Source organism: Homo sapiens, chromosome 2, assembly GCF_000001405.40.
Source record: "Homo sapiens chromosome 2, GRCh38.p14 Primary Assembly".
Lineage (NCBI taxonomy): Eukaryota > Metazoa > Chordata > Mammalia > Primates > Hominidae > Homo > Homo sapiens.
The window spans coordinates 207,566,597-207,579,264 of NC_000002.12; the positions used below are offsets into that span (position 1 = coordinate 207,566,597).

Consider the following 12,668-nt stretch of genomic DNA (forward strand, 5'->3'; position numbering starts at 1 on the left):
TGGTAAGGATGTCTAAAATGGAGGTTAATGACAGTGGCTCCACTACTTCCTAGCTTTGTGACTCGGGTGAGTTACTTCTTTGTGCCTTAGTTCTTCCATCTATGGAATGGATATAATAGTATAGTACCCATCTGGCGCCTACATTACTGTGAGTATTAAGTAATGTAGTATATGTAAATGCATTAGCATAACACCTGGCACATAGGCATCTGTAAATTCTAGTTTCTATCATTAATATCCCATGTAAATTTTTTATTCACTTATCTTCATTACTTTTCAGTCTAGGTATTCTTATCAGAAAAGCATAGTTCTTTACCTTGAATTTTTACTTAAAAGTGATTATAGAATGCTAACTTTGAAACATGTTAGGAGTTTTTCCTAACTTGCTAGGAACAACTGTCAGGGATGTCATGATGGATCGCCAGTCTTACTGTACAACTGTAAATATATTCATAAGTGTTTATACAGTTAAATAATAATATTTGTATAGTCACTATATAGACTTAGGACCAAATATTTAGCCATCCATTTTATCCTTTATATCAGAAACCTTATTTTAGTTGGTAGTTTTGTTCCAACAGATGTAAGAAAAAACTGATAAGTAATACTGATGCATTCAGGATTGATTACATGGAGTCCTGAAAAAAAAATTAAACTGCAGCTATTTTAGGTTCTCTAACTTCATCGTAGTTTATAGGGTAAGTAAAGGGAAGGGGAAAGTGATTGGTGTGGTTGTCTCCCATAAGAACTGATTTTTTTCTACTGAAGCATGTATAAAGTTTATATATGACTTTTTATATTTGTTTAATAAAAATTTTACAGGAACTAAATTTGATTATCAATATGAAGTTTTTCTTTAATTTCAGATTTCAACTATTGCAGAAAGTGAAGATTCACAGGAGTCAGTGGATAGTGTAACTGATTCCCAAAAGCGAAGGGAAATTCTTTCAAGGAGGCCTTCCTACAGGTATGGAATTTAATAGTTAGAATCAAAGATGTGGAGGAAGTCTTAGGTAGTTGCAGATAAAGAGATGTCAGAAGACCAGTTAGTTGTTCACGTCAGTTCCTTATAGATTACTTTTCTTCATCTTGAGTTATTTGTCTCAAATAAAGTGGAAGCTTATCCTACAGAATAAGAAGAGCACTTGTTACTCTCACCAGTCCTAATTTTTTTTTTTTCTGTTTCTGTTTCTGTAGACTGTGCTGGCTGTCTTTCTGTTAAAAGTTTGGAATACAGTTGATAAGGTTATAGCATTTTTTAGTTATAAGCCAACTCTGAGGCTCTGTTATTTATCTACTTAGTAACACATTGCAAACCATTTTTTATGCCATGGTACTTAACAGATAGCTATTAATTTAATAATTGTCTCAGGGAGATGCTTTACTAACATCCCCTAATTTTAGCAGTAGCTTACTGTAATTTTTGTGTTCAGTTATAGATGTTGCCTAGTCCATGCCTTGCCTCCAAGGTGAACCAAAACCATTTTTTAATGTAAAAATTAGCTCCACATTAAATATCTTCAGGAAGGGCAGTTCCATAAATCTTGATAAGTTTACTTCAGCATTGAAGAAACTTCAGACTCATAATTATCTTCCTTGTTAGTGTAAATTATTTTTTATATATTCCTATTTTTCAAAGGGATGGTTTTTTCCCCCCGCTTGGCTATTAAACTAACCCTTTTCTCTGTCCTTACAATTAAATTAAGAATCCTAAGTGACTAGCAATAAATAGATTTTGAGGTCTAAGAAATTTTATATTACCAGTTTATGTTATATGTATTTATATTCATAATTTATTTTAAGTATAGCTAGTGTTAGATTTTAACTTTGAAGTATATCTCCTGTTAGTATATAACACATTTGATCCTGAAGCAAATCCAACCAAATACTACTAGTAAAGTAATTACACAGGTAAATATAAAAGCCAGGATTATTATAGTTTTGGTTTGTAACTCCTTTTTTTCCTATGTGATTGGAAAGACAAAGGCATAGAACAATAACTATAAATTTATGTGACTAAGCACATGATATATGAAGATGTCATTTTTGACAATAGCATAAAGGGACAGAGTTTATAACTAGTTTGTTACAAATTTAAGATATCAAAAATTACTTGGGTTAGGGTTTTTAGGGGTTTTTTCCCACCTTTCAGTGTGATTATGTTATTCATTTGAAATATGGTATGGTTCCTTTGTTTTTGGGTTCCATTTTAGAGTTTCTCCACCCATCCTTGTTGATCTTTATTTTTTTTTCTAGTAAGTGAAACATTTAACACTGTACCAAAAGTCAGAATTGCACAAAAAAAGTATACTCAGTAGTGCCTCCCCATTCCTTCTGTCGTTTTCATTTCTTTCCTACCCATCCCCAGTAAATAGCTAAAACCATTACTCTCTCGTTTATCCATCCTGATTTTTTTCCTTGAACAAATGAGCAGATACATGTCTGTTTTCATATTTCCCTTTTTTCCTTACACAAAAGATATGCTGTATCCATTATTTGGATGTACCATAGTTGATTCAACCACTTGCCTTTATATGGGCATATAGATTGTTTCCAGTATTTTTTTTCCTTTTTATTTGTTTTTCTATTTTAGACCTTGGATATATGGCTCCAGTATTTTGCAGTTACAAACAGTGCCAATGGGAATAATCTTAAGCGAGTTTATTTTAATATTGTTGGAATTGGGGTGAATTCCTGGAAATGGGATTGAGGCACGAACACCCATATTTCCTTAAATATCAACAATTCCTTATATCGGGATTGTGCCAGTTTTATACTCCCAGCAGCAATGTATGAGAGTGTGGTGTTTTTTGTTTTTGTTTTTGTTTTTTTTGTAGCTTTGCTAACAGATTTTGTTAACACTTTTTTGTTTCCCAATCTGAGAAGTGAGAATTTAAAAATCAGGTTTTGATCTTTTTTCCCTTTAGTTGATTGTTGACTTTTTACTTTCCGACTTTGTGTATGTGTTCTTTGAGATGCAAAAGATTTTTTTTAATGTAGTCAGTCTTATTATTACCCTTAATTGCACCCTTCCTTACATTGAGGTTAAAGATAATACATCTTTTTTTTTGTTTTTGTACATATTTGGGTTCCTTTTGACATCTAGATCAATCCCTGACCCATGAAGAGTTTATTCATGTAATTTATATATTTTAAACTTCTGCTGGCTGGGTGCAGTGGCTCACACCTGTAATCCCAGCACTTCGGGAGGCCAAGGCGGGTGGATCACATGAGGTCAGGAGTTCGAGACCATCCTGGCCAACATGGTGAAACCCCATCTACTAAAAATACCAAAAAAATTAGCCAGGCGTGGTGGCAGGCGCCCGTAGTCCCACCTACTCTGGAGGCTGTTGCAGAATTGCTTGAACCCGGGAGGCGGAGGTTGCAGTGAACCAAGATCGCGCCACTGCACTCCAGCCTGGCGACAGAGCAAGACTCCATCTCAAAAAAAAAAAAAAAAAAAAAACCTTCTGTCCTAAGCACTAGCAGCTTTCTGTGAGTTTTCTCATCTTTAACTATATTTGTATTTAGCCAGTAAATTGTACTTATATTTTTAATTATTCTAGTTTTCTAATTTTGTAGGAAAATTTTGAATGACTTATCTTCTGATGCACCAGGAGTGCCAAGGATTGAAGAAGAGAAGTCTGAAGAGGAGACTTCAGCACCTGCCATCACCACTGTAACGGTGCCAACTCCAATTTACCAAACTAGCAGTGGACAGTATAGTGAGTAATAGACAATTTCTGTTTCTATTGTGAGGAGAAAAAAGTGAGGAGAAAAAGCTAATAGTTGCATTCTCTTCAGAGAAACCAATACAAGTGCCAAGTCTTCTCAGTTTTGCTGCCATTATTATATTTCCTTTACTCTTCACTATGCAAAGGTCTGTAATGGTAGTATTTTCTTTTCTTCAGAGAGTTTTAGTTAGGATTAGTCAAGTGTATAAACCTTTTAGATGTCCTTTTGTTTTTGTGCAGATGCATGGAAAGTCTGAAGTTTTTGAACCACTAATTGAGACCCTAGGTTTGAGGCCTCATGTGTTGAGAGAACATAAGTTTTTTAGATTAAAAAAAATCATTCCTTGAATATATCTCGGTATTCATTTTAATAGTTTGTCTTGCCTTCTGAAAGTAGCATTTTAATGTCTTCGTATTTAATAATGTTTCAAGTGGGGATAAGCATGGCTTGGTTGAGTCAGCACATTCAATTATTCCTTTTCATATGAAAGATAGTAATATACTTTTTGGCCCACATAAAGCAAAAATTGCTCTTACAAAATTATTTAAAAGTTTTCATTTCTATGATGTCTCTGTCTGGCACTTAGGTCTGTCTTCTTATCTTTCACCAAAATCTGTTATAAGACACTTTTGAATTTTATTTTGTTTGATCAAAAGCATTTGTGTGAATGGTACTTTTTTCTCTTTTTCCCTTTTTTTTTTTTGCCTCTCAAAGTGCTTTATTCATTCAGTGATTTTTTTCATTTGTATTTGTTTATTAAACCTGGTGCTGCCCATTTATACCCTTTTCCCCACCCACCTTAGTTTCAAATTAAATGTACACATTGAAACTTCTTTACTGAGATAGTTTCCTAATCCCTGAGGGAATCTGTATCAGAAATATGCATAAAAGTTTGAGGCCAGGCACAGTGGCTCATGCCTGTATTCCCAGCACTTTGGGAAGCCAAAGTGGAAGGATCACTTGAGCCATCCAGGAGTTTAAGACCCCATCCCTATTTATAAAAATAATTTAAAAATTAAGAAATATGCATGAAAGTTTGACCCCCATGTTATTTTTTAGTTCCAGTTCAACTTTGTTTTGCGTAACTCTAATTTGCATTCCCATCTGTATTAAAGACAAGTTCTCAAGTAGCAAACTTTTTAACTCTGCCAAGGCTGAAACTTTTGAGACTAAGTAGAAGGAAGGCATTTTTGACTAAGGTTTTTATCCACTGTGCTCAATTAGCTTAGTCATCTTTTTTCTTCTTAAGATCTTTGTGGCAGATATAAAGTACAACTCTTTACCTACAATTCTGTACGTGTATGTGTATTATCAGTTGAAGCCTCATACCAGATGCTTTTAGTTATTCAAGATATGTGTTCGAAGACATTGATACATGATGTTTATTTTTCTTCTACTTCAGCATACCTGAGGGATACAACATACTCCTGTCAGTAACAGATTCACTGTTACAGAGATTCTCACTTGAACTAGGAAGCATGCTCTTTAGGAAAGAGGCCTATCAGAATCTAAAAAGGGGAAATGAAGGTTAGAAAAGTACCAGCACCCCCATAGATGTTTAATTTGGTACACTCGTCTCCTCCAGCAGCTGAAAATTGCTAGTTTTAAGAGATTGAGCCAGGCGCCGTGGCTCTCGCCTGTAATCCCAGCACGCTGGGAGGCCAAGGTGGTGGATCATGAGGTCAGGAGTTCAAGACCAGCCTGCCCAACATGGTGAAACCCTGCCTCCACTAAAAATACAAAAATTAGCCGGGCATAGTGGCGGACGCCTGTAATCCCAGCTACTCGGGAGGCTGAGACAGGAGAATTGCTTGAACCCAGGAGGCGGAGCTGGCAGTGAGCTGAGATCACACCACTGCACTCCAGCCTGGGTGGCAGAGCAAGATTCCGTCTCAAAAAAAAAAAAAAAAAAGAGAGATTAATACTTTGAAATTTTTAAAGCTTTGTTCATTATTTTTATCCTGTGTCCTCTCTGTATATGTACACATGGCTTTGGCTTTGATGGAACTGATTTAACATTATATTCTTGATTTTCATTAAGAGCAATATAATAAATACATATACAGCAACATTTATATTTCTTAACTTATAAAATGAACATATGGTTGTCAGAATTCACCATAGATATATAAACACACATAGTTATATATTTTGTTTAATAGCTGCATTGTGTTTCACTGTGTAAATACAGCACTTATTTAAACATTCTCCTGCTGATGAACATTTAGGACATTTCTATTGTTTCAAACAGTGCTACATAAATATCCTAAGAGTGGAATTATCGACCATCCTGGCTAACACGGTGAAAACCCGTCTCTACTAAAAATACAAAAAATTAGCCGAGCGAGGTGGCGGGCACCTGTAGTCCCAGCTACTCGGGAGGCTGAGGCAGGAGAATGGTGTGAACCCAGAGGGCGGAGCCTGCAGTGAGCCGAGATAGCGCCACTGCATTCCAGCCTGGGCAACAGCGAGACTCCATCTCAAAAAAAAAAAAAAGAGTGGAATTATCAAATTAAAGCATATCCTCCGCAAGTACCCTTCCAGGTGGAGGCATGAATTTCCACTCCTTCCTTAAATTGGTTATTTTATTAAATTCATGCTGTTACTAGATTTATCTGTTACTTATTAGTTCAGTGTCCCAGATAGTAAAATCTTATTAGTGATTCTGCTCTTAGATAGAAAATGTGTATCTGTCATTTTGAACTTGAATTTTTTTGTTTCAGTAAATAAAACTATGACTCATGATGTTTCCCTCTTTATTCTGGCAACTCAGATTCTTAGCTAACTTTCTGTTTAATTGTATTCTTTTCTTAGTCTAGATTTTCTTCTACAATTGTTTTATATAACTAAGGATACATCCGTTACTTGACTTCTGTCTTTTTATTTTTGTTTTAATGAATTGTGTTTTATTGAAAGCTATCTCAAATCTTTTTGGAATAATAAAGTGTATACATAAACATTATAGAGAAAAACTGTGTTCAGTAGGATTAGACTTCAGTTTCCAAAGTATTTTCATATACATGACCTCATTTGATATTTACAACAATTGTACTTAGTGGCTAGAACCCAGATGCTTTTGTTTTTAGAGAAGAGAGAACAGAATCAAATAACAGTTTAGTGATGGCTGGGCACAGTGGCTCACGTCTGTGATCCCAACACTTGGGGAGGCCAAAGTGGGAGGACTGCTTGAGGCCAGGAGTTCAAGATCAGCCTGGGCAACATAGCAAAACCCTGTCTCTACAAAAAAATGTCTTTAGAAAATTAGTAGGGCCTGATGTCCTGTGCTAGCTACTTGGGAGGCTGAGGCAGGAGGATCACTTGAGCCCACCAGTTGGAGGCTACAGTGAGCTGTGATCTTGCCACTGCACTCCAGCCTGGAAGACAGAACAAGACCCTGTCTCAAAAGAAAAAAATTAAAACAAAAAACTGTTCAGTGATGGAACTCAAACTACAACCCAGTCTTGTCATATATGGTTTACTATTTCTTTCTTCTTCCCACCTTGAATTCACTGCTCTGTAGCCAAGAAGAAAGTGGTATGTTAAATACAGTAGGATTCACTCATTAACTCTAAATGAGAAATTGTGATTTGTTTCTGTTAACCTTCTGATTCTTTCAAGTAATCATGCAAAATTAATCTTAGAATAGTTCTTACTCATTTTTCTCCCTGCCTAAGATAAGTAAAACTTCTGGGATTAGCTAAACTAGATCCAGTGTATATGCCAGCATTTTAATTTTCACAAGTGTCATTTTGCTAAACTAATCACACTGTAGCCATTAACTCTTCTTACTTCTTGATGAGGCAGTAATCAATTTTCCATGTACAGATGTCTCAGGATGTTATTTCCCATAGCTGGTGGATAACTGATCCCAAACTAATTCCCTTCTAATGGACAGTAACATGCTTAATCAGACATGTTGACTTTCCTGCATTGTTTACTTTTTTCTTACTCAGTTAAAATCAGTTTTGTAGTTTTATATGTGATATTGTGATTTTTGGTCCTTCTCTTTCTGAAAAGCTTGACCCCTACAGGGAGAATTGTCTAGAGAGGATATTGCCACCTATCTAAAAATGCTTCTTCCAAATAAATCATCTAATTTTTAAATTAAATTTTTCTATGTACTGTAGCATAAAGGTGATTTAGTTTTTCATAAAGTGAAATATCTACTAGTATGAGCAAAAGTTGACTGATTTATTGTTTAACAAATGAATGACAGGTGTGGCTAATTAGGGCATAAACAACAAAGGGTTCTATATGAGAATGCTTGGATATGTATTAAATAATTTAGAAATGACAGTTAAAGTTTTTTTTCTAAATGATGATCTTGAGCTCTGATTTTAAAATTCCATGAGAGACTGTTGATAATTAAGTTCCATAGGATATTTCAGTTGTTTCATTGAGTGGATTAGATACCATTAAAGAATTTCTACAAGAGTTAGGGAATACAATGCACTGATGAACTGCTTTATTAGTTATATGTTAAAACAACCATTTATTGGGTGCCTATTTCATGGCTGCCACTGTGCTAAGTGTATGAAAGTATATAAGAAAATTCCTACTCTCCAGAAATTTATTTACTAGTGGGACAAGTATTAATACATTATGCAGTTAATGCTAAAATAAAAGAAAGGATCACAGAGTGGAACCTCTTCAGAACCAAATAACTTCAGAAGGAATTTAACATTTTTCCACTTAAAAAAATTGTTAACAGGCATTATTATTATAAATTAGAATGCAGTTCATAGAGTGCATTTCTATTGTAGAAGTTGAATATGGGTTTCCTGAGGAGCAAGTTACTTGAATATATTAGACCCTTCTTGGTGATGTTATTTGCTGTAACTTCTCCTAGATTATTTTACAAATTATTCTACATTGGATGTAATGTTTTAAAAGTCTTATATGGTATTAAACTTGTAACAATAAAATCCATTGGCTTTTAGTTGCCATTACCCAGGGAGGAGCAATACAGCTGGCTAACAATGGTACCGATGGGGTACAGGGCCTGCAAACATTAACCATGACCAATGCAGCAGCCACTCAGCCGGGTACTACCATTCTACAGTATGCACAGACCACTGATGGACAGCAGATCTTAGTGCCCAGCAACCAAGTTGTTGTTCAAGGTAAGGGAATTCAGAATTCACAGGTGTGGTAAATTCTTCAAAATACTAAAATTTTATAAACTCACAGAAAAAGTAAGTATCATATTGCAAACCACCATTCAAATGTAGTTAACATTTCTTCAATATTGATAGTATTTTTCATGAACTCTTCCATTATTCCAATTGGACCAAAATGTCATGGCATAAAAACAACTATTTTCAGTTTTTAAAATATTGCATCTACCTTTAACATCTTTTGGGGTAGAAGAAACAGGATAGGTTAGAAGGAAAGACCAGGAAATCAGGAGTTAGAAAAGATGGATTCTGTATCTAACTGCATGGATCTGCTATGAGGCCTTGAGTAAAAGTCAGCTGCTCTGAGCCTCAGGAAAGTGTTTTGTTTTTTGTTGTTGTTGTTTTTGTTTTTTCATCTGTAAAATAAGAGTTGCACTGAATCTCTGGAAACAATCTTCAGAAGTTCAGGATTCTGTTTCTCTGCTTCCCCCCCCCCCCCCAAAAGAAATTTAAATCTTCTGAGATCATCAGTTTTTATTATTATTATTATTATTTTTTTCTAGAGACATGGTCTCACTGTGTTGCCCAGGCTAGTCTTGAACTCCGGGCCTCAAGCAATCCTCCTTTCTCAGGCTCCCAAAGTGTTGGGATGCCTCTGCACTTGACTCAGTTTTTGTTTCAAATGAAAACATTATATTCCACAGGATCTTATACCAATATGCAAATCTGCTGCTCTTTAGAGAAAAAGTAGTTGTTAAATTCTCGACAAATTATAGAAGTTGCTTTTTTTGGCTTTTTTTTTTTTTTTTTTAGTTTTTTTTTTCTGTTTATTTCAGGAATCTTTATGGATAGCAGTTAACCATTTTTCTTTGGATTTGTTTGAATATTTCAAGAATATAGTTAATGCCAGGTTAGAAATTTGCTGATTGAGGAAATAATAATAAATTTGTTTCTGAAAATATTTTTATAAATAATAATGCATTTTGCCTGTGTTAGGTAATGACAGTTGTATCCTTTCACCATGGATAATTGAATAATCCTGAAACACCAACTGGAGAGAGTCATAACTTATTTAAAGAGCCCTAATGTTTACAGAATATATTCTGTTATTAAACGAGTATTTGAAAAAGATACTATTTTGCTTATTGATGAGAGTAAAACACCTTTTCACTTTACATGCAGGTACTCAAAAATTGTAAAGCAGGATGTCAGTGAATTTGAATTCTGAACGTCAGTTTGAAGATGGTAACATGTTTAGTATATAAATCTTTTCCACTCAAACCATACATTTTAATTGATATTAATAATTAATATGAATAATTTTATAAAGACCTTCAAATTTTTTTAAGTAACATTAGGTTCCTTATTAGGAGAGCATATTATTACGCTGTTTTTAGAAGCAGTTTGACAAATAGTGATTGTGTTTGTTTTTACAAATGGTGAATCAGTTAGAAAAATAAAACTTCAGTTTATTTAGCCATTATCATTTACATTAAAACAATATGTTTTTCAAATAATATAATTGGCATCAAGTGATACACTTTTTCATACTTTTAGTTTTGTTTTAATTCAAAATTTATAATAGTTGACCATAATGCTTTATCTTCTTTTTCATTTTGCTATTTTATGAAAAATCATGGTCGTTTTTATGTCGTGGCAAGAGTCTACTTGAAATTTTTTAATATGAATTTACCAATATCAAAGGAAGACACTGAGGACTATACTCTATCTAGGAAGATCATCCAAGCTGTGCCCCACTTACCTTTTAGACTTAAGGTTGGTAAGCATGTTAACAACAGAATAGAACTGCATTCAAATGAAAAATAAAATGTAAGATCCAGCGGACATAGGTTACTGTAATAAATACATTACATTGGGAATTATTTCTTAGTAGTGGCGCGAAGAGTGCTGATTCTTTCAACGCTTTAGCCAGAATCATCTTTTCTTTTTTGTTTCCCTTTTAGTCCAAAATACATGCTTAGATTGATGATTGATACACATAATTGAATCAAGTTGCAATGTTTCTGTCTTACACCATGCTCACTGTTTTTTTCAGCTGCCTCTGGAGACGTACAAACATACCAGATTCGCACAGCACCCACTAGCACTATTGCCCCTGGAGTTGTTATGGCATCCTCCCCAGCACTTCCTACACAGCCTGCTGAAGAAGCAGCACGAAAGAGAGAGGTCCGTCTAATGAAGAACAGGTACAAATACTGCATTTACTTAGATTGTTATGTGTTAAGTGTGTCTTCACATTCTGCTGGATGTGTATCTTTACATCTACTGGTAATAGGATCTTTGCATTGAATTTTTTTTTTCCAGCAGAATTAATGGATCTTGCTAAATTTTCTTTATTTAATAAGCTGCACTTATAAGATAGCTGTATGATTATGGGTCAATCTTTGATCGTGGAGTAGTTTTCTTTCATGCAGTTTCCCCACAGGAGATTTAATGCACAACTTCCCTATGTCTGCACTCCAACCAGTTAGCCAGGTTATTTAAAAATGGTTTCTTTTCATGTATAGTATTGTTCAAGAAGATCAAGAGTTTCATATATGTATATTAACTGTGTGTTAAATTTTATCTATATTAAATTTACTTGATATAAAGTAAATGTATGGTGGCCAGTTCATGTTTTAATGAATAATATCTTTACTCAAAATAATAACATTTTAACACCTAAAGATTCTTCAAAAATATGTTAATTCTAAGAATACCATGTTACGGACAAAAATCTTAAAATATAGTCTTCAAAAAAATACTACATTCAAAATCTGTGAAATGTTGGTAAAGCAATTCTCAGAAAGTAACTTTATTGCTGTAAATGATTTTGCCGTCAAAAACAATAAAAATAAGTTACTAAATATTGGTTTAGAACTTTCATATAGAAGTGACCGAGACAAACAAAAGAAAATGAAAATAAGGTTATGTAAAGGTTTAAAAAGTTTGAAATTAGTGAAAGTATCTCACTGTTCATCCCAGGATACTTCAAACACTGATAAAGTGAAAGAAGCAGGGCTTCCAAGTCCTAGCCCTATCCCTCCATTTTGGGAGAAGGTATTAACCTTCTGTACCTCAGTTTTGTAAAATGGGATTCCAGCACACACCCAAAGTATTGTTGTAAGAGTCAAGTAAGAGAATCCTTTGAAAGCACTTTGTAACTGTAGTGCTCTGTTGAAATGGGTTTGTGTGTGTGTGTGCAATTTCACAGCTCAGATCAGCTTTTTTGTTCCTAAAATATTCTTAGCTGTCACAATGTTAGTAAATTATATCTAAACTCTGAGAAATGGCAGAGATTTTTCTGGGATATTAGAAAAAGAGTTGGAAACAAGCCAAGTGACTTTTTTTTTTTCTCCCGAGATGAAGTCTTGCTCTGTCACCCAGGCAGGAGTGCAATGGTGCAATCTCAGCTCACTGCAGCCTCCACCTCCTGGGTTCAAGCAATTCTCCTGCCTCAACCTCCCGAGTAGCTGGGATTACAGGTGCCCACCACCACGCCTGGCTAATTTTTGTATTAGTAGAGACATGATTTCACTATTTTGGCCAGGCTGGTCTCGAACTCTTGACCTTGTGATCCACCCTCCTCGGACTTCCAAAGTGCTGGGATTACAGGTATGAGCCATGGTGCCCAGCCCTCAAGTGACTTTTATTTGTGCTCCATCCATCTGTGATTTTGAGTATTTAAGTTTTACTAAAGAGAAGCATAAAAGCTGCATTCATAATTCAAATATATTTTAAAATATAAATTAAAATCTGTAAATAAAAATTAAAATATTTTCAGTTTTTAAAAATGTTTATAAGGAAACCTTTAAC

The 12,668-nt window shown here is 34.6% G+C and overlaps 1 protein-coding gene across 24 annotated transcripts in view; it reads left to right on the top strand.

Annotated features, from left to right (window-relative positions):
* CREB1 (cAMP responsive element binding protein 1) overlaps positions 1–12,668 on the top strand; it is a 76,027-nt gene that overhangs the window by 36,635 nt on the left and 26,724 nt on the right. For 16 of the 24 annotated variants that reach the window (NR_135473.2, NR_163946.1, NR_163947.1 and 13 more), the window contains 4 exons: positions 867–967; positions 3,583–3,725; positions 8,676–8,858; positions 10,909–11,059. Coding sequence is in view for 21 of the 24 variants with exons in the window: in XM_011510646.4 (XP_011508948.1) it covers positions 867–967; positions 3,583–3,725; positions 8,676–8,858; positions 10,909–11,059 (578 nt within the window). In the remaining 3 variants the exon portion in view is untranslated. Of the gene's footprint in view, positions 1–849; positions 968–3,582; positions 3,726–5,137; positions 6,698–8,675; positions 8,859–10,034; positions 10,330–10,513; positions 10,629–10,908; positions 11,060–12,668 lie in introns of those variants that run through there. The other 8 variants (XM_047443442.1, XM_047443443.1, XM_047443440.1 and 5 more) reach the window with 7 other exon arrangements.